At 47.6% G+C, this 26,622-nt stretch overlaps 1 protein-coding gene and 1 long non-coding RNA gene across 3 annotated transcripts in view, besides 5 other annotated features; one reads left to right on the plus strand and one right to left on the minus strand.

The window, feature by feature from the left end:
- The window catches only part of LOC105372649 (uncharacterized), a 108,687-nt gene extending 91,494 nt beyond the window's left edge, over nt 1-17,193 (plus strand). The window contains exons 3-4 of the long non-coding RNA XR_001754659.2: nt 4,825-4,940; nt 16,761-17,193. This is a non-coding gene — a long non-coding RNA (uncharacterized LOC105372649). The remainder of the gene's footprint in view (nt 1-4,824; nt 4,941-16,760) is intronic.
- The window catches only part of KCNB1 (potassium voltage-gated channel subfamily B member 1), a 119,486-nt gene that overhangs the window by 57,951 nt on the left and 34,913 nt on the right, over nt 1-26,622 (minus strand). The window lies entirely within an intron of this gene.
- Nucleotides 2,429-2,952: an enhancer, noted in NCBI's record as "H3K4me1 hESC enhancer chr20:48040793-48041316 (GRCh37/hg19 assembly coordinates)". NCBI's record gives its function as "activates a minimal SCP1, AML or CMV promoter by ChIP-STARR-seq in naive H9 embryonic stem cells {active_cell/tissue: H9 hESC(naive)}" and the evidence as "EXISTENCE:reporter gene assay evidence [ECO:0000049][PMID:30033119]".
- Nucleotides 2,953-3,476: an enhancer, noted in NCBI's record as "H3K4me1 hESC enhancer chr20:48041317-48041840 (GRCh37/hg19 assembly coordinates)". NCBI's record gives its function as "activates a minimal SCP1, AML or CMV promoter by ChIP-STARR-seq in naive H9 embryonic stem cells {active_cell/tissue: H9 hESC(naive)}" and the evidence as "EXISTENCE:reporter gene assay evidence [ECO:0000049][PMID:30033119]".
- Nucleotides 24,773-25,284: an enhancer, noted in NCBI's record as "H3K4me1 hESC enhancer chr20:48063137-48063648 (GRCh37/hg19 assembly coordinates)". NCBI's record gives its function as "activates a minimal SCP1, AML or CMV promoter by ChIP-STARR-seq in naive H9 embryonic stem cells {active_cell/tissue: H9 hESC(naive)}" and the evidence as "EXISTENCE:reporter gene assay evidence [ECO:0000049][PMID:30033119]".
- Nucleotides 25,285-25,794: an enhancer, noted in NCBI's record as "H3K27ac-H3K4me1 hESC enhancer chr20:48063649-48064158 (GRCh37/hg19 assembly coordinates)". NCBI's record gives its function as "activates a minimal SCP1, AML or CMV promoter by ChIP-STARR-seq in primed H9 embryonic stem cells {active_cell/tissue: H9 hESC(primed)}" and the evidence as "EXISTENCE:reporter gene assay evidence [ECO:0000049][PMID:30033119]".
- Nucleotides 25,795-26,306: an enhancer, noted in NCBI's record as "H3K27ac-H3K4me1 hESC enhancer chr20:48064159-48064670 (GRCh37/hg19 assembly coordinates)". NCBI's record gives its function as "activates a minimal SCP1, AML or CMV promoter by ChIP-STARR-seq in primed H9 embryonic stem cells {active_cell/tissue: H9 hESC(primed)}" and the evidence as "EXISTENCE:reporter gene assay evidence [ECO:0000049][PMID:30033119]".

Here is a 26,622-nt window from a genome sequence, read left to right on the forward strand (position 1 = left end):
CTGTAGAGAAATAGAACATCTTCCCAACTGGGAAGGAATTTCCTGGGCCCTGCAGGAACCCAATCCAGATGTAGGATTTTAATAATAACAGAGAGGCCTGGGGTTATTTTAAGGAAGACCAATAAATCAGGTCAGGAAACATCATCTGCTGACTTCCCTCTGGCACTCCCTAGCCTTGTCAATGAGAATAGCTGAGAACAGTCTAGGAGTCTTCCCTATTTGAGATAGAATCCTCTGCTAATCAAACACACCTCGGGATCCTCTATGGCCAGGGTGGAGGTGGCAAAAGTGGAGAACAAATGTTTTCCCTTAATTCAGGATCTTATATATTTTTCACAGAATGTGGAATTACCTGGTGGCTATCGTCCTACTTGGACTATCAAAGGAAATAAGGCCGCTCTATAGGCAAGCATCAGAAACCTCTCCTTCTATTCCTTTCCTGTTTTATTTATTGTGTGGGGCTGCCATGGAGATGGAGCTGGGAAGAGACAGGGGAAGTTCAGCCTACAAAATCTTTGTGAAGCTGGGTGCAGTGGCGCATGCCTGTAGTCCCAGCTATTCGGGAGGCTGAGGTGGGAGGGGTGCTTGAGCTCAGGAGATCAAGTGTGCTGTGAGCTCTGGTTGCACCACTGCACTCCAGCCTGGGTAAGAGAATGAGACCCCATCTCTTTTTTTTTTTTTTTTTGAGATGGAGTCTCACCATGTTGCTCGGGCTGGAGTGCAGTGGTGCGATCTCAGCTCACTGCAACCTCTGCCTCCCAGGTTCAAGTGATTCTCTTGCCTCAGCCTCCCGAGTAGCTGGGATTACAGGTGCATGACACCATGCCTGGCTAATTTTTGTATTTTCAGTAGAGATGGGGTTTTACCGTGTTCGTCAGGCTAGTCTCAAACTCTTGACTTCAAATGATCCGCCCACCTTGGCCTCCCAAAGTACTGGGATTACAGGTGTGAGCCACCGCGCCCAGCCTGAGATCCCCTCTCTTAAAAAAAAACTGTGAATGCCTCTTTTTGTTGGAGTAGGGTTTGGACTGGTTCTTTGCTTGCTTTTCATCAAAGTGGGTTTGTCATGTGATTTTAAAAGTCTCTAAAACTCTGCCTGCCAAAGTATCCATCTGTCTTATTTTATGTTAGCTAGAACACCCCAAGGGGCCAGGATGGCAGGACAAGCTCCAAGGGGTGATGTGGGCAATAGCAGTCAATGTCTGCTCTACACTTGATGGTGCACAAGAGCTTTTATTCTCATGATCTTGGAATATCCTTTCAGGAATCCAGTGAAGGTGACTGGACAAAAACTATGGTATGCCTGTACAAAGGAATACTACTCAGCAATAAAATGGAGTGAGCTACTGATGCATGCCACACCATGGACGGACCTCAAAACCATGATACTGAGTGAAGGCAGCCAGATGCAAAAGGCCACACACTGTATGATGCCATTTACGTGAAATGTCCCAAAGAGACAAATCCATAGAGAAAGAAAGCAGCTTGGTGGTTGCCTGGGCCTGGGTGAAAGGGGTGTGGGGAGTGAATGCAAATTGGCATGGGGTTTCTTTTGGAAATGTTCTGAAATTGGATTGTAGTGATGGCTGCACAATGCTGTAAATTTACTAAAAATTATTGAATTGCACACTTAAAATGAATGAATTTTATGGTATAAAGTTCCATAAGGCTGTTTAAAATTTTTTATGGTATAAAGCTATTTAAAAAAAAAAAAAGAACAGAGGGGAGTCAGAGGGAGGGGACAAGGGGTGGAGGGTGGAGTTGTTAGAGCTTCATGGGGCATAGGAGATAAATGGATATGTACTGGCTGGAAAGGATAGAAGCTGTGATTTTCTTAGTCACCTAACTGGGGAAATCCCAGAACAGGAGGCCTCTGAGTTCCTACTAGCTGACAAGTGATAAAAGCTGAGAGTAATAATGACAAGTGCTAACACTGATTAAGTGCCAGGCACATGCCAGGCAACTATACAGAGCATGTTACAGGTATGAACCCATCTGCTCCTCCAAGAAGCCCTTTGAAGTGGTATTGGGAGATAATTCTCCATGGGTCTCTCCAAGGTCTGCATGTCTTCAGCTCAAAAGACACTGAGACCTTTGTTCTAGACTATCATCTCAAGGACATCTGTGTAGCAAACACACTTGGAGGACAGAGACAATATCTCTCTCTGGAGCAGAAAGAAGAGGATAGAGTTGTTTCCCAACCAGTACAATAATGTCTCTATCTGAGGCAAAGGCTAGACAGGTTTGGCAATAGCCCCTTTATAAGATTGCAGGTTTCCTAAGCTCTGGGATCCTCCATTGAGACACAGATCTGCTGCTGTGTGTGCAGAATCCATTTGGGTTGTTTTCATTGCTCTCATGGAACTTGGGAGACAATTAGAACTGACGCAAATATGAAGCTTGTGCTGCTTGCTATACTGTGACTAATAAAGTCCTTTGTCTCTGACCTGGGATCTCGTGTCTTCTGCCGTCATGTATGGCATTGTGGCAGGCTAACTCATTAGCTTGTGAGCAGTGCAAAATCTCGGACCCTTCGTAGTTCTTCCGTCATACTCACATCACCCCTGTTTTACAGATGAGGACTTTGAGGCCCAGAGAATTGAAGCTTCTTGTTCAAGATCACACAGCTAACAAGTAACAAAGCTAGGACTGTTACCCAGACCGATTGGGAAAGGAAGGAGAGATGAGTAGGGGATTGGAGAAGAGAACCGCTGGAAATGACAGGAGCTGAAGGCCCCAAAGGTACACAGAAGGTCATGCCTCTCAGCTTCCCAAACCCACACACCCCCAGATGCTGCCTGTCCCTACATCCGGCTGCTGGGGCTGAGCAGCCAATTTGGGACGACCGTGATATATTTAACGGTGAGTCATGCTCTCCCCCAGCAATCAGCAGTGGCAGGCTCGGGAGGATGCAGGGAGCATCTCTGGAAATCCGTGCCTGAGGGTCGCCATGACAACGCCATCTGAGTCGCTTGCCAGCAGCTGGGATGCCAGTGCCTGAACCAAGGCACAAAATAGTCTCACAGGCTGAGTGCGGCCGAGGACAGGAGCAGGCCCCCTGCACGGCATCCCCAATGGGTTTGCCAGGGATTGATGGGAGGGATGTGAGGACTTGGTGACAAGGGAGATTCATGGGCTCACTGTCCAGGTCACAGTACTCTATGGAAGCCTGGGGTCCCTGGCTGGTGGGAATGAGCACACTTGGCGTGATGGGTATTTTGGTGAGCACCATCTCTTCCTGCCTTGGTTCTTCTTGGTTTGTCTGTCTCATAGTTGCTCTCCCAGAGGCCCTGCCCAATTTGAGGCTTCTATCCAAGTGTCACAACCTCTGAAGACTGACAGCAACTTGGGAAGGTAACCAAGATCATCTTCCAGGATAATTCTGAAGACTTCAGAACCTAGGGCGAATCAGCCACACCCACACACTAACACCAAATACGAATATCCCATGAAAGCAGCTTGGAATCCATTCATTCATTCATAAATCCATTCATCACCTTGTCCTCTCAGTTGTTCATTTTAATTAGAACCTGGGTCCTACAGGCCCTATGTAGAAGTGGATTTGGTTATCCCGTCCTCATCCCCTTTCACTCCCCCTCTCTTATTCTACTCTAGCTCACTAGTCTTACTGCTGTTCCTCAAACATACAGTTGCTTTTCTGCCTCAGAGCCTTTGCACTTGCTCCTCCATCTGCCTGGAAAGCTCTTCCCCCAGAAGGGAAGCTCTCCCTTTAGGTTTCTGCTCATATGTCACCTTCTCAGAGACACACTACCAAGACCACCCTAGGAGAAAGCACCTAATTCAGCCTCAGTGATAAGGCCAAATATATATATATATATATATTATGTATAATATGACATATATCTGTGACTTAGTTTCCCCCATCCGTACGAAGCAAAGAGAGACAAGCTGAAAATTGGTGGCCTGTAAGTTGAATCTAACTCACAGACCTGTTTTGTTTGGTTTACATAGTGTTTCAAGAACTGAGCAAGTTGCTAACAGTTATAAAGTTGAGAGATTTTGTTTTAGAATGCAAATTTTCAATTTATCTCGAAAAACTAAGGTTGGGTGTGGTGGCTCATGCCTGTAATCCTAGCACTCTGAGAGGCTGAGGAGGGTGGATCACTTGAGCCCAAGGAGTTTGAGACCAGCCTGGCCAACAGGACAAAACCTCGTCTCTACAAAAAATACAAAAATTAGCTGTGTGTGGGGGCATGTACCTGTAGTCCCAGCTACTTGGAAGGCTGAGGTGGGAGGATCACTTGAGGCTGGGAGGTTGAAGCTGCAGTGAGCCATGATCATGCTACTGCACTCCATCCTGGGAGACAGAGTGAGACCCTGTCTCAAAAAAAAAAAAAAAAAAAAAAGAAAAGAAAAGAAAACAAAGAAAAATATTAAGCTGTGCATTCTGCATCTGTAAAAGCAACTGGCTGAGGCATGAGCATTCCAGTGCCAAAGGCCCTATGTGGACCTCTTCATTCATTTATGTGGCCATGTTCTACCTATGGGAGTCTTTGGGCTTGCAGCCCAAGTCTCTAATCCGAGGTCTCTAAGGGTCTTTGGTTTGGGATGGAAAGAGTGTGGCATAGTGGTTAAGAGTCAGGCCGATGGGGCTGCAATCCTCACTCACTTCAGTGTTCACAGCTTCAGTTTCCTCACATGTAGTATGGAATCTCAGAGAGTTAATGTGCGAACTGAACAAAACAATGTACCTGGAAAAATGCTTAACACAGAGCCTAGGAAATAGAACACAATAAGTGGAAACTTAAAAAAGAGCTTTTTCTGGCCTTTAATGACAGTCCATTCCTTGATCTGACTCACTAGGTCTCTTCGATCAGAAATTTGGGAGACAAGGAAGGGCTGTTTTGCTGCAATTCACTTGATGTCAAAGCAGGAAAGACCTCGGACAAAGCTTCAAGTCTAACCTTTTTTGTTCTCGGGTGAGTAAACCAAGACCAGAGGATGAGTCTTGCCCAGAAGAGTTTCTAACCATTCTTCCCCCAGGTATTTGTTTCCCGGTGAAATTTGCTTAAAGTTGGAATTGGCTGAGTGTGGGCCAGAGCTATGGGCATTGTTGTGAACACTTGCTTTTAACTGCCCAGTATCTACTTGCTCTTTATCTGTAACAGCTCCCTGATTTTTCCCTGGCACCATCCCTCTTCTGATCCCCAGGAAATGGCTCCAGGTATGGGCATGTGGTTCATGACCACAGTGGTTGGCTCAGAGATGGCCATATGATGCAATCCAGGCCAATGCATGTCAACCACAGAGCTCTTAGGAACTACTGGTACCCACTGGAGCTGCTGGGCTGGTTAGATACAAGCCTGGGGCTGCTGAGAGCCATTTTTGCTATGACTTGGGGAGCTGCCTGCGAGGATGCCAACACAAAGGAAAAAAGGTCCAGGTGATGGAGGAAAACAGAAACCTTAGAACATAATTTGAGCAACTTGATTCAGCTGAGCCTGAAGGCGTGTACCCCTGGGCTTTTCAGTTACATAAGCCAATCAGTCCCTTCTGCCTTCCTCTTTTTTTGCTACGATCAGTTAGAATCAAGATTCTGGATTCATCCAGGCATGGTAGGTGAAGGTGTTGGGTAAGCAAAGGCCCAGAAGCAGGAAAATGCAGAACAAGTTCTGGGATTTCCAATGAATAACCTGCAGTGGGAAGAGGCCAGTAAACTCACTTAAAGCCAGAACCTGGGGAGCTTTGAATGCCTTGCTAAGTCACTTTGACTTTATCCTAAGGGTAACAGGGAGCCATGGGAAAGGACCTGCCAGAGTTGGCAATGGTGTGGGGCAGTGGGAGTGAGGATTATTCTGGATATTAAGTCTGGTTCAGGGTTCTCCTGGGATCCAACTCCAGCCCAGAGTGCATGCAGTGGTGAGAGAGGGTGTCTTCCCTCAGCACCCGCAGCTTCCAGTCCCTCCTGACTGTCTTATAATAACAGTGTTTTCAATGCAGACCTTCTGGGTTCCCTGCCGCGAATCACTCAGCCACCCTTCCAGGGAGAAAACAAAAAGCAGTGTTTTTCCGTGTCTATTTTAGGCTGCTGCCTACATCTTTGTTCTTCGTGAGGAACACACACTCCCGGGGGGCCCTTTTCTCAGCTGTGGCCCAGCAGTCGGGTCTGGACCACCAGGCTGGGTTCCGTTATGGGAAAGAACCAGCAGATGTAATGGAATCATGCCAATTAGGCCAGGAGCTGCGTGGGGATGATGTTATCATTAAGTTCCAGAAGACGTGGAGGTGAGGGGGAAGGTAGCTCATTCCCGTCCACATGGCTATCCCAGACGGACTGCCTTTTTTGATCTGTCCCCTTCGACTATCCTGAGCAGCTAGGAAGAGCCCACCCTTGCTATCCCCTGAGGGACAGAATTTAGAAGTCTGCATTGTATGAGACACTTGTGCTCATTTTACTGTTGGGCTGAAAGCAGAAGTAGAAATTCTATGGCAAATGGGTGGATCCAGCCCACCCATTTTACAGATGGTAAAACTGAGGCCTGAAGAGGAAGCATAGTTTGTTCAGGTTTATAGAACATTTGGTGGCAATCTATGACCAAAAAGACCAGAACATAAAATCTCAGAGGGCATGTACCTTATCTGTCTTGGTCAACATCGTGTCCCATCACAAAACATAGTACATGGCAAATAATAGGCCCTTGATATACATTGGATGAATGAACAACATCTCTACTGCTGTTTTCAGCTTTCACAAAGAATTCTCTCACACATTCCCTCATTTCAACGTCATGATTGTCTTTGTAGCCAAGAATTGCTTTTGTCCTTATTTTGCAGGTGAGGAAATGGAAGTTAAGAGAGGCTTAGTTGCCTATCCGAGATCACACAGCCTAGGTAGAGACTGAATTTGAATCCATGTCATCTTGATGCAGGCTGGGGCATCACTTAAATTTTGGTAGAGGAAGAGACCTTGGAAATGTCCAGCTGGGAGGTAAAAGCCTTGGTCTACAAGGACAACTCTGACTTTAATTATACTACAACATTTGGAGTGAGGGGAACAAGAAAGCAGGTCCTCAAAAATGTTCAAAAGAGTTACCATATGACCTAGCAAGTCCACTTCTAGGTATACATCCAAGAGAATTGAAAACCTATGTCTGTGCAAAAAATTATACATTCATAGCAGCTTTATTCATAATAACCAAAAAGTAGAGACACCCCAAATGTTCATCAACTGATGAAAGATAAATAAAATGTGGCCTATCCATACAATAAAGTAGTATTCATCCATAAAAAGGAACAAAAACGGATACAAGCTGCACTGTGGGCGAGCCTTGAAAACATTTTGCTAAGTGAAAGAAGTTAGTCACAAAAGGCCCCATATTGTATGATTCCATTTATGAGAAATGTCCAGAATAGGTACACCTAACGAGACAGAAAGTATAGATTACTGGTTGCCAGGAGATGAGGGGAGGAAGGAATGGGGGGTGACTGTTAATGGGTACAGGGTTTCTTTTTGGGGTGATTAGAATGTTCTAAAATTAGATGTGATGATGGCTTCACAACTTTTTGAATATGCTAAAAACTATTGAATTATACATTTTAAATGGGTGAATTTTATGGCATTTGAATTATACCCCAATCAAACCCTTAAAAAAAATACCAAGAGGAGCATTTCCATGGCAAGGGAGTTTTAGAAGGGGGAACATACAAATGAGGAAGGGTCCCCAGCATGGACAGCTCCATGCTGTCTTCTTGGATGTCCCAGGAAGAATTTCAAGAAAGTATTTCAACCCCCAGCTCCAAGGATTCACCTGAGGGCTTGTTCCTATGGAGTTGAGAATCTGTAGGATACCTCCTCCAGGTAACTCTCCCAGATATCCCAACCACAGACAAGAAAATGAACTCATGATAACTGGGCACCACTCAGTGCCCTGGTGCTCTGCTTGTGATATCTCACTGAAGCCATGCAACAACCTTGCTGAATGTGAGGTAGTACCATCACCCTTGTTATCCAGGTGAAGAAATGGAAGCTCACAGAGATAAAATGACTTGTCTGGGGTCACACAGCTTTTGGCTCTCTCAGCTACATCATAGTGCGTGGGACACACCCAGAGTAAGGCCTGAGGCCACTTTCCGAGGGAACCCAAGCAAGTTCCTTGACACTGTGGGCCTTAGTTTCCCCATCTGTTCCATTAAATCCCAGCTTACTCCTTCATTGTCCTGGTGGGGGCTTCAGCCAGAGCATCACCACCTGCCTCTGATATAATGGTGCTTCACATTTCATCAGATTTCATGTGAACAAAGCCAAACATCTTTTCTCAGTGCCTCACCTGCCCAGGGATCCTAGTCCACATCTATGCTGTTTTTCTCCACTCTGTCCTTCCAGTGCTTGGCACGCTGTGCCACTTCTCAAAAAACCCTGATGTTGCCTGCCATTGGGTTCAAGGCAGATGATGTGATTTCACAGGCTTTCTTCTTCAGCACTAAATAAGGTGCTTTTGTGGGGCCCTTCCTTTACTTCTGATGCTTTAGGTTCAACTTTGGAGTTTGTAGACTTGCAGAGAATTTTCCATCAAAGCGTACAGGCAGAGATGCAAACACACACCCTTTTATATCTCCATCCATCCATCCATTCATTCACCCATCAATCCATTTACTCATCCATCCATCCATCCATCCATCCATCCATCATCCATCCATCCACTCATCCACCCATCCATTTATCCATCCATCCATCCACTCATCTACACATCCAATTGCCCATCCATCCACCTACTAATCCATCCATTCATCCACTCATTCATCCATCCACTCATGCATCCATTAAATCATATATTCATCTACTCATCTATCTACCCATTCATTTATTTTCCCATTTCCTTTATTCATTCATTAATTCAATAAATATTTACCAAAAGCCGACTATATGCCAGGCACCATGTTGGCCAATGGATACAGTGGAAGAAAAGACAAAATGAGGTTCTTCTCCTCATGGAGCTCACAGTCCACTGAAGGAAGATAGGCCTCAATAGACACACAAAATGTAAGCATAAATTGGGATGAATGCTACCAAAACAAAGTCCAGAATGATAAAGATGCCTAATTTCCATTGGGAGATGGAGGAGGCTTTTCTGAGAAAGTTGACATTTAAGATGAGATCTGAAGTATGATTTATGATTTATCAGTTAGGAATGCTCTTGGTTTAAGAAGTAGAAAATGCTAACCAAAAGAGGCTCCAGCAGTTAGGGTTATGATCCCACATAACCAAAAGTCCTGAAATAGGGTTACCCCATCACTGAGGGACTTGACAACATAGTTAAATATCCAGACTCTCTACCATCTACTCTACCACCCTCAGAGGACTGGCTTCATTCCCAGGCTGGCTTACTTCATGGACACAAGATAGCTGCCTCTGCTCTGGCCATCAGGTGAAGACATGCCCACATTCATACTCAGACCATCACGAGCAAAAGGAATGGGGCCACCATGATTGTCTCAGATCAGCTGTTTGCAACTGGCCCTGATTTTGCACCCCAGGGGACGTTTAGAAACATTTTCAGTGGCATAATTATGTGTGTGTTTTGGGGGCATTGCTACTGGCATCTTGTGGGTAGAGGCCAGGGATGTTGCTAGGCATCCTACAGTGCACAGTACAGACCCCATGAGAGATAATTATTCAGATGTCAATAGTGCCTGCTTTAGACCAGTTAGAACAAAATCCTGAGTCATGGGGCACACAGTAGAAAGGCGTAGGGGAATTGCTTAAGAAAGCTTTCCTGGATGATGTAACAGCTCAACTGAGTCTTGAAAGATGGACACTGGTTAATAAATCCAGGTAATAACCAGCTGGCCACGTGGATGAGCAAAAACGCAGCCCTTCCCTCTTTTCTGCCTCTTCTAGTCGATGTGAGCCCCATATGGTCAGGGACCTCACCTGACCCATTCACTTCTCCATCCCCATTCCCATTTGATGCCCATTACCATAGTTGTTCAACACATTGTTGTCAAAGAATGAGGGACTAAAATGGGGAGAAACCCTCTCTGGAGGCTGAAGCCCCAACTTTGAAAATTCCTGGGAGTCACACAGAGTGAATGTTGGGGGCAATGACTCTGGAATAAGTATAGGAGGATATCAGTCAACATGAGGAAACCCCAAGAAAACATTTGGTTCAGTCCTATCATTGTACAGATGGGGAGACTAAGACACACAAAAGGGGAGAAAATGGTTCAAGGTCACTCAGAAAGGGGGTCAGACACAGCCAGAACCCATGTGCCCCTTTCTTAACCCGTGATCAACAGCAGCTGGTGGATCCTGAACAATTGTTTAGAGACTCACGGTCCAGCTGAACACAGTTCCGAGTTCCTGAATTTGGGCGTTTCCCACCTCTTATCTCCTTAGAAAGCTTTCTTCCTGGATTCACTTACCTTGGGACCCCAGAAGGATGCTGAGTGGGGCCACCTTCTGTGAGTGTGTACTCTGCTCAGATGGCAAAATGGCTACCAAACTGCCCAACCCAAATGGCCGGTTCATGGACACGTTTTGTTTGGTCCATGTTTGTTTAATTCTTAAAAAAAAATTATTATTTGCATTCTTTGCCAACAATAAAAATAATTGGGACAGTGTGCCTTAATCCAAATTTCCCACTTCTCTTCGGTAATCAGAAGGTTTGACAGCATTGTGCCCATTTTTCTGCATGGCAGCTATTTACAGGAGTTGGGCAGTGGCTGCTCCTTTTGTCAGGATACAAGTGCCCCATTTCATCCCAGTGCCCTCCTGGCTATATCACTCTTGTACAGGGCTGCCTGGCCCCAGCCCAGCTGATGGGACACAGGCGTGAGTAGTGAGGCCATGCAGGGACCACAAGCAGGACACTCTCCCTCTCTCTTGGAAGGAAGCACCTTGGTTACCATAGCAACATGCTGCTGTTTGTAACACATCTTCCACCTGAAAAGGAGAGGAGATGACAAGTACATCTCTCTTCTCAGCCCAGGCAACATCAGCTCCTGGCACCCCCCAAAACCTAAGAGCGAGAAGGGGGAGTGTGATCTGTCTTCTCCAATCTGGGCCCCAAATGCAGATGCCCCAAACACCCCCATTTGTTCAACCAACCCAGAGATGAGGCGTTGGGAGGGGTTGATTTAGATTCCATCTTATATAAAAAGACCAGAACATTTTTGATTAGTGATGGAGGAAGGTGTGGGAGTCTGAGACAGTGCTTTGTTTCTGGGCAAATGTACACATTCCCTGATGCCTCTCTTCTCTCCACGTCCTCTAAAGTAGAAGCATAGACTCCCTCTCCTTACTACTCCTCACAGCCAAATTCCCCTCAGCCAGGACCCCAGACCTTTCCCAATACCCAGGAGCCCCTAGGGCAGCAGGCCTGTTTCTAGGCTACCTACAGAACCTGAAGGAAATAAGGGAATGAAATAAGAGAATCAGCCAGAAATAAGGCAGGGCACCGTGCGGTATTTTCCTTTGAAACTAAGAGGCTGAGAGCTGGAACAGCAGCAGAAATCAGAAGAAATCTCATTGAGAAAAGAGGCACAGAGAGGAGTGCCAATTAGCACCCAGGTCCCCTCCTGGGAGTGTCAATCCATAAATATTAATAACCGTAATCATCCAGTATTAGTTATAATGCCTTGTAAATTAAGGTCATTTTCCGTGGAGTAAATAGCTGCGTTAATGGCAGCAAAAGGTAACGGCGTTGCTGGCTGCATGCCAGTTGATGCCTGCCAGGATGACAGTATAAATCAGGAAGGACACGTCCAATCTGTGAAGACAGGCAGTGGCATGGGGGCAGGTGGAGTGACGGGGCAGAGTGTGGCCGCAGACACACATCCCACGCAAGGCCCTTGGGCCGATCTGATCTAACAGGGACCTGCTTTAGACAGGTGATGTCTGGGGCAGATGAAGCTCCCAGGGTCACTAGGTGTAGGTAGGAGGGGAGAGAAGGGGCCGGGTGGGTAGGGAGAGGGTGTCTCAGAGGGAGGTGGCACCAAGACTTCAGACACTTGGGTTAAGAGCAGAGGGCCACGCTTTGAGCTGCTGCCTGTGGCATTTCACTGCAGACCTTGGCGCCTTTGCTAAGCGACACAGACATTCTCTTCTTCCTCTACCTCCTTTCCCTCCTCTCCATCTTCCTTCTCTTCCTCTCCTCTCCTCCTGCCAGGGCTGACTTCTCCATTAGGCCCAATAGACACAGCCTGGGGTTCACACTACCTCTAGGGCCCCTTCTCCAATGTTTTAATTTCTTTTATAATTAGAAGAAAAAAAGAACTTTCAGCAGGAAGAAAATGTTGTAATACTGTATGTGATATTAATATATTCATCTTTATACCAATGTAGCCATAATATAGCATGTTTGTTTTTTTTTCATGGAGAGAGGCCTAAGTGCCCGGGGGCCACAAAATTCATCACATGGCCCTACTTTCTGCTCCCCACCCCTCCTCCCACTAACCACGGGGCCCTAAGCAATTAGCATTGCCTTATGGAGTCTCGGTTTCATCCTTTGCAAATGGGCTAATAATGGTGATGCCTTCCCAAGCAGGATGAAGTAAAATAATATTAGAAAAAGCTTTGGCCACAAAGTGGTGTTTGCCTCCTTTTCAGGAGGCTCTGGGATCCTGGGAGTTAGGCGGGTGATGTATTTGAAAATCTCAGTGGATGGAGTCCCTGGTAATGCTCCCTATGGGCTCCCCAAGCTAAATGCACCGTCAGACCCTTCTCTCGGGTCTGACCCATCATCTTCCTGGGCTCCCTGGTTTCTCTAAAGAGCAAATGCTTTTCTTGACCCTCTGAGAAAACTCACAAGGCACTTGAGTATACTAGATGGATCAAATAATGCCTTTAAATTCCAACGGAAAGAAAGCAGCCATTATGACGGGCTCCAGCAAGGGGAGGGAGTTGGGGGCCTCCTTGTTCCTTTACTGCTGGGACTGGACACACTGGGGTTTGCAATACCCAGTGCAGATGAAAATGTGGGGACCCTTGTTCAAAAACTATGGATTTCATGACAGTGACAGCAGAGCCTCTAACAAAGTGTGGGGCCCTTCTGAGAGGGGCGTCTGGTACTACTGCACTGGTTGCACACCCGTGACAAAGCCTGTTGTTAGCTTGCAGCTGGGAGGACGGGTGTGGCAGTGGCCGGGGAGGGGACAGCAGTGATGATGATGCTGTTTGATTTCCCCCAACTCCACCTTCACCTAGTACAGTGCCTGGCATGTTGTAGGTGCCTAAGAAGTTCTAGTTCATTCTCTCATTCCCCTAACACAGGGCCCACCATGGCAGATGAGGCCTGTCCCCACCAGGGTGGAAGCTGGATCACTGGGCCCGGCTTGGCACCTGGTAACGATCCCTCTCCAGGGGGCTGTGCCCTGGATCCTCTCTCTCCTCCCTCCTCCACCTTCCCCCAGAAAGAGTGATCCTTTATTTTACTCCTGGCCTATGGTTTTTGTGTTGGCAGAAGTGGAGGTGCTTATGGCCAGCATAGCCTCCAAACTAAACACTGCAGAAGTATTGAGTATTATTATTATTTTTATTATCTAAATTTGCAAACTCTGCCCCCTCCTATTACTCAGCTCCTTCCTTTTCTTCTTTACTTTTCTTCACTGCCCTTGTCCCCTCCTGATATTATAGTGCATATCTATCTGCTTGTGTGCTATCTGTCTCCCAGACCGAAGGGTGGACTCCACGAGGACAGGGACTTTGTCTTATTCACTCTGGAACCCCAGAGTTAGCACAGGGCTCAGCACATCAAAGACACTCAATAGGTATTTGTAGAATGTACACACAAATCTTGGAAAGGTGGGCAGGGATGCTGTGTGTCCTGGGGCCAGGAAGCCACCTCTCTGAGTCTCCCTTTCCTCACCTGTAAAAAAGAGGTAACAGCAGCTCTTGCAAAGGCTGAGGAGCAGATGAAAGGAGGCCACACCCTGCAAAGGCACTGTGAGCTGGTGAGGGAGTGCAGCGATATCACAGTTCCTAGAGCCCGGCCTGCAAATCTGGCCACAGCTGCCAGTCAACAGCCCAGGCTCGGCTAAGGTGCCATAACTTGGTGCCCACCTTGGATTTTCACACCCAGCTGGCTACTGGCCACCAGATGGCATAGAAGGTTAGTCCAACCACCTGGCCTGACCTGGGAGGCTGCCCAGCCTCAGAGAGCATCCTTCCTAGCGATCACCTGGGCTCTAGACCTCAGCCTGGTCCTGGCCTGGAGGGCGGTGGAGGGGGCTCAGCCATTCAGACTGCTGTGTGGACTCTCACCTGACAGCATGTCATTCAATCCACTCTGTCAAGAAATACTATGATAACAATCAGGGAAATGCAAGCCAAAATCACAGTGAAATACCACTTCACACCCACTAGGATGGCTAGAATAAAAAAGACAGAACAAGTGCTGGCAAGGATGTAGAGGGACTGGAACCCTCATATATAGCTGGAGGAAATGTAAAATGGCAAAATCACTTTGGAAAACAGTCTGGGAGTTCCTCTAAAGGTTAAACATAGAATTACCATATGATCCAGCAATTCCACTTCTAGGTACATACCAAGAGAAAGAAAAACATATGTCCACATAAAAATTTGTGCACAAATGTTCATAGCAGCATTATTCATGATAGCCCAAAGTGGAAACAACTCAAATGTCCATCAGCTGATGAATGGATAAACAAAATGTGGTATATCCACATAATGGAAGCTTATTCAGCCATAAAAAGGAATGAAGTACTGACGCATGCTGCAACATGGATATAAAATCTTGAAAACATTATGCTGAGCAAAAGAAGCCAGACACAAAAGGTCACTTATTGTGTGATTTCATTTACATGAAGTGTCCAGAATAGGGCAATGTAGAGAGATAACAATTAGGTTAGTGGCTGCCCAGGGCTGGGATGGAGGTGGGGAGAGATGGAGAGTGACTACTAAGGGGTAGGAGTTTCTTCTTGGGATGATAAAAATGTTCCGAAATTGATTATGATGATGGTTGCACCACTCTGTGTATGTACTAAAAACCATCGAATTGTACACTTTAATGGGGGTAAATTGTAGCTTTAATTTAATGGGTAAATTGTACATCTCAATAATATCTCAATAAAGCTGTTATATGTATATGTGTGTATGGATTTGAATAAAATGCATTTGTAAGGCATCTAATATGAGCCAAGTGAAGAGCACAAAATCTCTGCTTGCTCAGGAAGCTAACCATGAAGAGACAGAGGAACAGATACAAGTGCAATTTGACTCGAAATATGAAAAGCGCAATTTGACTTTAAGAAAAATAAAGCGGGCTGGGTTAGGGTTGGCCAGGACTGGAGTTGCTTTAGATGGAGGAGAGGCACTGTGGTCCAAGGAAGACACACTGAGGAGGTAGCTTTTGAACAGAGACTTGAATGAAGAGATTGGGTGGGGTGGGGCACAGAAATTGGGTGGAAGAGTATTTGCAACAGGAGAAATAGCAAGTGCAAAGGCCCTGGGGTGGGAGCACTGAGCCAGAGGAAGCTAAGAGGTAAGGAGGGAGAACTGATGGGGGCTGGACCCTGGAGGGCCAGGGAGGTTCTGCCGAGACCCATGGCTTGGTTCTGAGTGAAGTGGGAGCCGTGGAGGGCTTTGAGCAGAAGAGGGACATGCTCTGACTTAGGTTTGCACCAAATCTCTCTGGCTGTGAGTGGAGAATGGACTGTGGGGTGGATGTGGGCAGGATGGAAGCTGGGAGACCAGTGACTAGGCTACTGAAATAGACCAGGTGAGAGACGAAGGGGGCTCGGCCAGGGGGTGGAGGCGGAGGTGTGAAGTGGTCAGATGCTAGTTGTGGACTAGCAATTCTATCCATGGAACCTCCACTTGCAGGGATTTTTATTGCCATTTAACTTGACCCAGATGTCAGCTGAGATCAAAAGCTTCCTACCTGATGAACAGTCTTTGAATGCCTCCCAATCGCCAAGGTCAATCACAGCCCCTCCCCAGAACGCTATAAATGCCGGGGTCCTTGCTTCTTCTGTCCCTTGGGTTCAAATGTCCTGAATCCATCTGGATGCTGTCTCAGCCTCTGCCACCGATTTCCATGAGAAACTCAACCCATCAAACATGTTATCATTCTGGCAGACTTAACAGAAGAGTCAATAGTAGTAAACACCTTGTAAGATTCTTCTCCAGGTTAGATGAGTTAATGTATGTAAAAGCACTTAGAACAGTGCCTGGCACATGGTTGGCACTCAATGAATGTTCACTCCTATTATTTATTTATTTTCATTTTAGATTCAGGGGGTACATGTGCAGGTTTGTTACACGGGTATATTTTGTGATGCGGAGGTTTGGGCTTCTAACGATCCCATCACCCAAGCAGTGAACGTGGTACCCAACAGGTAGTTTTTCAATCCTTTTCCCCCTCTCCCTCCCCTCCTTCCCCTTTTCTGGACTTCCCAGTGCTTATCGTTCCCATCTTTGTGTCCGTATGTACCCAATGTTCAGCTCTCACTTATAAGTGAGAACATGTGGTATTTGGGTTTCCGTTTCTGCATTAATACACTTGGGATAATGGCCTCCAGCTGCATCCATGTTGCTGCAAAGGATGTAATCTCGTTCTTTTTTATGGCTGCAGATTGTTATTCTTTTAGAGACAGGATCTCGCTCTGTCACCCAGGCTGGAGTGCAGTGGTGCGATCATAGCTCACGGCAGCCTTGAACTCCTGAGCCCAATCCATCCTCCCGCCTCAGCCTCCTGAGTAGCTGGGACTACAGGAACGCACCACCACACCAGACTAATTTTTAAGTTTTTGTTTGTTTGTTTGTTTTTGTTTTTTTTTAGAGACAGAGTCTTGTGATATTGCCCAGGCTGGTCTTGAACTCCTGGCTTCAAGTAATCCTCCCGCTTCAGTCTCCCAAAGTGCTGGGCTTACAGGTGAGAGCCACCGTGCCCCGTCCTGGCTTCTGTTATTATCACGTGGCTAGCGTAAGGGGTGTTGGGTAGGTAGCTCCCTTTCTGGGAAACATTGGCCCCATCCACCCACATCCGATGGGGCTCTCCCATTTCAACAGGTCTTAAGAAGCCATCTCCTCAACAAAAGTGGGCCCCTGGGAGGAATTCTCCTGACAGCCACTAAAACAGTATGCTTGACCTGCATCTCATAACGCATCCAGGAGGAAATGAAAGCACAGACAGCTGGAGAACCAGGCCCAAGGTCACAAAACTTAGGTGTAGCAGAGCTGAGAATTCAATGTGCATTTGATGCTAAGCCAGGTGATAAAAGAAGGAAAGCCAGTTTTATTGAGTGCATGTTATATTCCAGGCATCTTTGTATGCACTGTGCTTTTATTTATTTATTTATTTATTTTATTTAATTTATTTTTTGAGGCACAGTCTCACTCTGTCACCTGGGCTGGAGTGCAGTGGCGTGATCTCGGCTCCCTGCAACCTCCACCTCCCAGGTTCAAGTGATTCTCGTGCCTCAGCCTCCCAAGTAGCTAGGATTACAGGCATGTGCCACCACACCCAGCTAATTTTTGTATTTTTAGTAGAGACGGGGGTTTCACCATGCTGGCCAGGCTGGTCTTGAACTCTCAGCCTCTGGTGATTGGCTCGCCTTGGTGTCTCAAAGGGCTGGGATTACAAGCGTGAGCCACTGTGCTCAGCCTGCATTGAGTTTTTAAAAATTTCACTTTTTATATAAATTATATTAATTTTGAAGGGCAGTACCTGCACACAGTTTGAAAATCAAAAAGGTACAAAAGGGTACACAGTTAAAAAGGGGGATCTTCCTCCCGCCCCTGTCCCCTGTCAACCAGCTCTCTGCCTCAGAAGTGACTACTATTTTGTTTCTTAGGGATCTTTCCAGTGACGGACTAGGAATGGCAGAACCTACTAGTTGCCCACCCAGTATCCAGCCTCCACCTCCTCCTTGCTAACAGAACCCCAATTTTGCTCACAGGTGGCCATATGCCCAGATAAAAACACTCACATTCCTGACTCCCTTGCAGTTAGCAGCAGCCATGTGACCTGGTCTGTACAGCGAGATGTAGGTGGAAGTCCCTGGGCAGGGAATTTCTTTTCACTCCCTCAAAAGTCAAAGTGCCCGGAAAAGAAGACTTTTGTGTTTTTGTTTTGCTTTTGCCCTTTGCCCTTAAAAAAAATTTCTTGCCTGGGTGAGACTCCATCTCAATTAAAAATATATATATATATTCTGCCTGGAATGTGGACTTGATACCTGGAGGTGGAGGAGCAGCCACCTTGAGACCGTAAGGATCAGAGACACGTACTCAGAATGGGGAAAGGAAAGAACGATGCTTGAGTCCTTCAGCAGCTGCACCAGTGCTGCGCTGCCCGGCTCTGGACTTACTGTGTTTGCTCAAGCCATCGTCTGTTGGATTTTTCTCATCCTTGCAGCTACATGCCTTCTTAACTGAAACCGTGCCTAAATAAGCATTTGTATTTATCTATGTTCTTTCTTCCCCACAAAAACGGTAGCATATACTCCACCTACCCTTCAGGATCTTACGTCTTCACTTAACAATATATCTTGAAGGTTGTTACAAATAGGTACACACAGAGCTGCCCTGAACTTTTAAATGAATGTGTCTAAGACCTTGTACAGATGCTCCCTAGAGTGTTCCACCAAGTCCCTCTTGGTGTGGGTCGTTCTCAACTTCTTGCTATCACAGATAATACTGCAGAGACAAAACAGGGACATTGTTCATATCCCACATGTGAGGGTTTGTCTTCAGAAGAATTGCTGAATGCAAGGGCAGATGCTTTTTCAGTGTTCTTAGATTTTGTCAAATTTCCCTGCAAAGAAGTCTGGCTGACGTGCATTCCACCAGCAATGTGGGAGTGTACCCACACGTTGTCTCTAATCCTTTCAACAACAAACTAGATGGTGTCCATTTTGCTGAGGCTCAGAGAATTGTACATGGCCTGCCCAAAGTCATCACAGGCAACTGGTGAGATGGGGATTTGTACCAGGGTCTGTCTGATGTCAAAGCTGTGCTTGTAAACACATGACATTGCTTTTCAGGCAGCCTGGATTCCAGAGACTCTCAGAAAAGAGGGAAGAACGAATCTGACCCAGGCGCTGGTCTGTACCTGAGAAGAGCCTTTGGGCTGGGCTGTGGGGAGGCCCGTGTTTGTCCTGGGCCGCGTCCCAGCTCAGGTCTGTCATGGCCTTGCTGTGTGAGCAAGTCCTGCCCCTTACCCTCTCTCTGGGCCTCAGTCTTTCCACCTGTCAAATGGATGGCTTGGAGTTGCTGGTTCCTAAAATCCTTTAATGTTAGGCTTCTTGAAAATCCCCAAGTCTGAGGGTATCTTGGGAGCTGCTTTTCAGACCTCAAAATGGAAACAGCGATTTTTCCTCTATTCCTGACCGAGCAGAGGTCAGCAGCGTCAGGGGCATCTACTTCTATCTGTGGACTGAGGTCACATTCCCTGGGGGAGGCTGGGCCATGGTGGGGCAGCAGTCCGCTGCCCTGTTTTCTCTGTAGGGTACATCTTCTCCCAGCTCTGACAGCCAGATTCTGAGGACAAATATTCCAGTTATGGTTTCAGATACTGAGTATTTTCCAAAGTGATTTACATATCTAATCTGGAAGAGAGGGGCTACTCTTATCCCCATTTTACAGATAAGGAAACAGGGGCACAGAGAGATCGATCAACTTGTCTGAGGTCATTCGGCCAGTAAGCGGCAGCCAGGATTTGGCCCCAGGAAGTCTGGTGCAAGAATCTGTGCCCTTCACCGAGCATTTCTCAACCTCGACCTATTGGCGTTTTGGGTTGGCTCACTCAGGTAGGGGGCTGCCTTGTGCATTCTGGGATGTTCAGCAGCATCTCTGGCCTCCACCCACTAGATGCCCCCTGGGTATGACAACCAAAATGACCCAGACATTGTCAAGCGTCCCCTGGAGGTCAAAATCACCTCCAGCTGAGAACTATCTTAACACAGCTCTGGAGATGTGGATTCTAGGCCCATCTGGGGACTCTTGGGTTTTTTTTTTTTTTTTTTTTTGAGACAGAGTCTTGCTCTGCTGCCTGGGCTGGAGGGCAGTGGTGCGATCTCAGCTCACTGCAACCTCCACCTCCTGGGTTCAAACAATTCTCGTGTCTCAGCCTCCTGAGTAGCTGAGATTACAGGCATGTACCACCATGCCTGGCTAATGTTTTTATTTTTTGTAGAGACGGGGTTTTGCCACGTTGGCCAGGCTGGTCTTGAACTCCTCGGTTCAAGTGATCTACCCACTTTGGCCTCCCAAATGCTGGGCTTACAGATGTGAGCTACCGCACCCAGCTGATTCTTAACCCTTCTGAGCCTGCTTCAGGCTCTGGAAAGACACTGACAAAGGCCTAGAGAAGAACCTTGCAAGAGGGCAATGCCCTGTGCAGGCGATAGAAGCGTCGCAGGGCAGCCTTCTCTGAGGCTGGCGATGGGACAACTCAGCGAGGGGCATTGGCGGGCAGCAAAGAAAAAGCTTGGGTGGTGGAATGGGCTTGGAGGTTGGCTGAGTGACCTTAGGCAAGTGCTGAGATTCTCTGACCTTAGGCAAGTGCTTTAGATTCTCTGAGATGCAGTCTTCTCAGCCAAAATCAGAGTTAACCCTTGTAGAGTTGAGGTGTGATACTTAAATAAAGTATTGTCATGATGGGTGAAGAAAAACAAAACCAAAAACTATATCCACGAAGAGTCTAGTTAAATAATGTATGGTACATCTAAGCCATGAAAGATTATGCAGCCATTAAAATGAATGAGGTAAATCTAGTTTTTGCTGATATGGAAAGATCTCTAAGGCTTATTTATTTATTTATTTTTTGAGATGGAGTCTCGCTCTGTTGCCCAGGCTGGAATGAAGTGGCGCAATCTCAGCCCACTGCAACCTCTGCCTCCCGGGTTCAAGTGATTCTCCTGCCTCAGCCTCCCAAGTAGCTGAGACTACAGGCGCACGCCACCATGCCTGGCTAATTTTTGTATTTTTAGTAGAGATGGGTTTCACCATGTTGGCCAGGATGGTTTCAATCTCTTGACTTCGTGATCCATCCATCTTGGCCTCCCAAAGTGCTGGGATTACAGGTGTAAGCCACCGCGCCCGGTGGCTTATTCATTTATTAATAGTTAAAAAGTAAGGTACCCAACAGTATATATGACATAATCCCATTGGTATTAGAAATAAAAATAATCTTTCTACATAGCCTTATTGAGCACCTACTGCTTGCCAGGAACTGGAGTAAGCAGGAGGAATACAGTGTGGATAAAACAAAACTCCTATTTCCATGGAGGTTGGTGCAAAAGCAATTGCATCAACCTAATATAAAGACGTGCAAGAAAATGGCTTCTTCTGAGCCTGGAGATGTGGGAGTGAGATTTCTGTCTTTCCATTGTATGCCCTCTGGTATTTGAATTAGTCTTACTGTTGAATGCATTTATTTATTTATTTATTTAGATGGAGTTTTGCTCTGTTGCCCAGGCTGGAGTGCAGTGGCACGATCTCGGCTCACTGTAACCTCTGCCTCCCGGGTTCAAGCTATTCTCCCAGCCTCCCGAGTAGCTGGGATTACAGGTGTGCGCCACCTGGCTAATTTTTTTGTATTTTTAGTAGAGACAGGGTTTCATCATGTTGGCCAGGCTGGTCTCAAACTCCTGACCTCAAATGATCCACCCACCTCAGCTTCCCAAAGTGCTGGGACTACAGGTGTGAGTCACTGTGGCCGGCTGAATGCATTTATTTTAATGATCAGTTTTTAAAAGACTGGATTAAAAAAATGAGAGAGAAAGCAACGAGCAGTGTTTGGCTCAATGCAAATGGTTGCTTTTATTATTATCATAGTAATAAAACATTTATTAACTGTCTCTTGAGCACCTACTGTGTGCCAGGTACTTTGCTAGGTGCTGAAGATACGTAGTGAGCAAGAAAGATAAAAATATTGGTCCTCAGGAGCAGGTGCTCTAGGTGGGGGGACACAGGAATCAGAGAAGTAACTGCAAATGTCATTAGTGTTACAACAGTTGGGGATTATGATGGCATCGGAACCTAACAGAGGGGAGGCTTGCAGGTCTAGGGAGTTGCCCAGGGATCGGAGCCTGGGCTCCAGCCCTCTATCCTCAAGCCTGGGCAGTTCACAAGGTTGGACCCCTCCATGGCTTCAGAGCAAACAAAAACAGCTAAAATTGATGGAATACATACAGCCAACAGGCACACTGTAAATACTTTACATGTATTAACTTACTTAGAATCCTTACTACAACCCTATGGATACTATTTTTATGCTCATTCTAGAGATGAGAAAGTCAAGGCACAGAGAGATTGAGTAACTTGCTGAAGGCCACACAGCTAGTAGGTGGCGGAACCAGAATTCAAACCCAGGTATTCTGCTACAGATGCCATACTTATAACTACTTCCTTTCATGACTTTCTTCTCCTCTTCCCTGCTTATCAGAGCCAGTCCTCTGTCTCCCTGTCCTCCCCAGACATGAGGATGACCCTCTCTGGCCCCAGCTGCAGCAGAACATGCAAGGATTGGAGGACACTCTCCAATCTTCCCCTGTCCCAGGGGCTCCTAAAGTGTCCTGGTTTTGCCCTTGGAGCCCAAGTAGAAGAGGGGACGAGGGGGAGCAGGAGCCAGCCAGGTATACGCTGGTCCCCCGTCTGCCTGTCCTTCAGGCATAAGAATCTGGGTTACTCCTAGAGCCCAAGTGTCCAGATTGATTCTAACTCCAGCCCCTGAATGAGCCACAAACTGAGTCCTAACCCGGGTCACACTGAATCTTGACCCTGGCCGCACATTCCTTCATAACCCTGGTCCTAGGCTAAGCCTTGACCCTGGTCACACACTGATCCTTAACCCTAGTTGCATACTGATCCCTGACTCTGATCACAGACTAACTCCTAGTGTGATCTATGACCCAGGTCATGTACTGACCTCAGTCTCAGACTGAACCCTGATCCTTGTCAAGGATAAGCCCTGACCCTCATCACACACTGAGTCCTGACCCTGCTCACTGGTTGAGCTCTGACGCAGGACACAGACTGAGCTTTGACCCTGGAGAGACACTGAGTCCTGGCACTCCTCACTGACTGATCCCTGATCCTGGCCATAGAGTCAACCATAATCTGGTCCTAGGGTGAACCATAATCTTTGTCACATATTGATCTCTAACCCTAGTCATACACTGAGTTCAGCCCTGGCCTCAGATGCCCAGCCATCTCCAATTGCTGCTGTCTACTGCCCAGGGATTCAGAGACTCCCAGAATGCCCTCTTCCCACCTTTCCCCAGAGCTTAAAGTGATTCCACTGGCCTGTGCAGAGGTCACCCAGCCTGTCATCCCCGGGGCCCATCTGGGGGACCTACAGGGCTCTAAAAAAGACAGGGAAGGCATGATTTAGACAGAGCTAAATTCTCGAGATGCTGCTTTTCATCTAGAGGCTCCCAAACTCTTCCTATTTCTCTCTGTCTCGTCTCTTCCCCCATTCACACACATATTTCTCCTGAAACAAAATTCATCAGCAAATTCTGTCTTTAAGAAGGGAGGTCAGACAGCAGCCAGCCCAGCAGCTGGGCAGAATTCTATTATCAGGAGGAAATGCAGCCAGCAGGAAGGACTGTGCCCTCCCTCCCGGCAAAGTGTTACTCACTCTCCCCAGCTTGGCTTCCTTCTGAAGGGCTGTGGAGTTCCTGACAGGTGGAGGTGGTGGACGTCTGCTGATGTTGACCAGGGAGCCCGTGCTCCCACCGGTGGCTGGCTGCCCCAGACCTGGCCCCTGTTCTGGGAATCTGCCCCAGTGTCTGAGCAACACAGGGGTGAAGAGTTTGAAATGGTTCCCCAAGGTGCTTTCCAGGATTGCAGGGCCTGGGTAGGGCCTTACATATTGGGAGAGTCCTTGTGGCCTCTTTGGGGAAGGATGTTTCCCCCTTAAGACCCCTGAAAACAGGGGTGCAGGATGGATGAGGAACACAGGGCTCACCCTCCACCCCCATCTCCAGGCAGTGCAAACATGTGAAACATGAACACATGGGCAGGCGTTGAGGTTTCCACTCAGTTCCCCCTCCCTGCTCTGGCAGGGAAAGGACTTTTGCTCCTCTGGGCCAGGGAGCCCTGGAGGGAGGGGAGAGGCATGGTTGCTGAGGCTGGGTGGGGGCTTCCAGATGGGTGTCACCCATGCCCTTCCGACCATCTAGGACAGCCTGGGAGTTGTGTCTAGTTAGGAGAGTCAAGAGTCAAGTATCCAGTGAGCTGGTCATTCGGATACCGAGGTGGGAAACAGGTGATCAGCCTGACAGTCATCTTGTCAGTTAGACGTAGAGACAGGCAGATGGGCAGGCCGTCACTCAGCCATTTGATCAGGCCTGCAGTCAGACAAGCAGGCTGACAGACAGACGGTCAGTCAGTCAGAGGAGGAGATGAACAGACAGGCTTCTTCATCTGTTAGTCAGATACAATAGATACCCAGCAGACAGACAGGCAGACAGACAGACATAGACAGACAGACAGACAGACAGGCTGTCCATCAGCCATCTTGTCAGTCAGCTATAGAGACAGCTAGTCAGTCAGTCAGACAGGAGATGGACAGCTAGTCTTAGTTACTCATCTAATTACAGCCAGCCAAACACCCAGGAAGACAGACAGACAGACACTCCAACAGGCATTTGAATGAGGAGATGGAGAGAAAGGCAATTTGTTTTGCATCTAATTAGTCAGGTACAAGAGCCGCAGCCAGGTAGACAGGGAGAGAGTCTCTCTGTCTCAGAGAGGGACATTCAGTCAGACATGGAGGCAGGCAGGCAGGCAGGCAGGCAGGCAGGCACAGCCATTCATCCAGTCAGTCAGCTATCCTGTCTGTCAGGCTCTCAGACTTGCGGTGGACAAGTCAGTCAGTCAGTGTCCGTCAGAACCAACCTACCTTCTGGCCAGTGATGCAGCTGGCCATTATGACAGACATCCAGGCTGGGCAGAGACAAACACTGGATGCTATGAGGAATGTTAAGAAATGGGGGTCCTAAGCTCACAGAATAACCGGGGGTCCCAACACCCCTCTCAAGAGCCTGATACAGCCCCTCAACAATCAGGGAAAGCATTCTGGAAGAGGAGGGAAGAGGCACCCCACTCCAAGAGCCATCCCTCATCTCCCTCTGAAGTGCCTGGCCTCCCTCTACAGGCCACAGGCCTAGAGAAGGAGCTGTGTGTGTGTGTGTGTGTGCGTGTGTGTGTGTGTGTGTGTGTCTCAGCTCTGCCAAGTTCTCCTCGCCTCCCTCCTCCACTGGAGTGGGGGTTGGGCGGCCCTCCCAGGCCACTTCCCATTTTGGGAATTGGGCTGAGAACTATGCAAGAGACAGAAATAATTCCTTTTTCGAGCCTGGCCAGGGCTGTAGCAGCCCAAACATTGGCACAAAACCAGTGCTGGGGAGGGGCCCAGGAGGGGGCAGCCAGGGGTGGGACGGAGCCCTGGGGCCCAGGGACACAAAGGCCTGGGTGTCTCCAGAAGAACCTCCTCATCCAGTCCCAGGGCTGGGTACAGGTACCTGGAAGATTCGAGACTCTTAGTGGAGCTGCCAGGCCAGAAAATGTTCGGGATTGGGGAGGGGACCAGGTTACAGAAAGAACAAGAAAGAAGTCATAGAGTCTCCACTGGTAAAGACAACTTGAAAAATGGACCATTTCTGGTGGCCAAGAAGGGATCCCTGCTCTCTCCTGAGAACACATCCCCCGCTATGGGCAGACCCACTGAGCACTCACATAAGAGATGGTGGCCTGGGAAGCACCTAGCACACAGTAGGTGCACACTAAATGCAAGTGTCCTTGGACCAGAATCGTACACAACTAGCTTCGCAGCCCTTTGGCACTGCTTCCTAGGGTGTGACCCTAGGCAAGTGACCTCAGCTCTCTCAGCCTCACATTTCCCCTCTGTAAACTGGGAGTAATGGCAAAACCCGCTTCCCGGGGTGGCTACGAGGATTAAATGACATGACAGGTACAGAAAATCTAGCACCTAGTAGGTCTGTGATCTATTTGAGTCCTTCCTCCTTTCTTTCCTTCTTTCTCAAAGCATTATTTTCATCTCACTGGGGTCTTACAGCAATCAGCCAAGGCAGATCTTGATCGTCATTTTCCAAGTGACACCCTCCTGAAATCAGCCCGTCTCTTAGCCTCAGTGTCCCCCTTGTGTAAAATGATAGCTCGGGACAGGAGATGTCTGGAAAGCCCTTTCAGAGCCTCAGCGCTAGAGTCGCTGGTGATCCTCAATGCTTGATTGCATCATTCCCAGCATGCAGGGGCCCTTCCCAACCACTCCGTGGGGATCCCTGTGGTTCTGAGGAAGCTGACCCTGCCCCCTGCCCCAGGGATAAGCCAGTCAGCACATGGCATCCCCCAGCTAGAGAGCTTGCTGAGTGGGGCATGTGATTCAAGCTAAGCCAATTTATTGACTTCTGAGCTTTGGCCAGGAATGCTGGGAGTTCCCTTCTCTTCTGGATAACGTAGAGTGCATGTGTGACGCCTAGAAATGCTGCAGCCTTTGGGACTCCCATGAGGGGAGCCAGCCCAAGAGAAAAATTGGCTCACAGAGGAGGACAAAGCAGAGTAAATCCTTGACACAATGATGACATCATGATCCCCTCCCTACCCTTGCTACACACTGCCTGGGCTTTTCAGTTGCACTATCCAATAAATGCCCTTTATTGTCCATGCCAGTTTCA

Source organism: Homo sapiens, chromosome 20, assembly GCF_000001405.40.
Source record: "Homo sapiens chromosome 20, GRCh38.p14 Primary Assembly".
Classification (NCBI taxonomy): domain Eukaryota; kingdom Metazoa; phylum Chordata; class Mammalia; order Primates; family Hominidae; genus Homo; species Homo sapiens.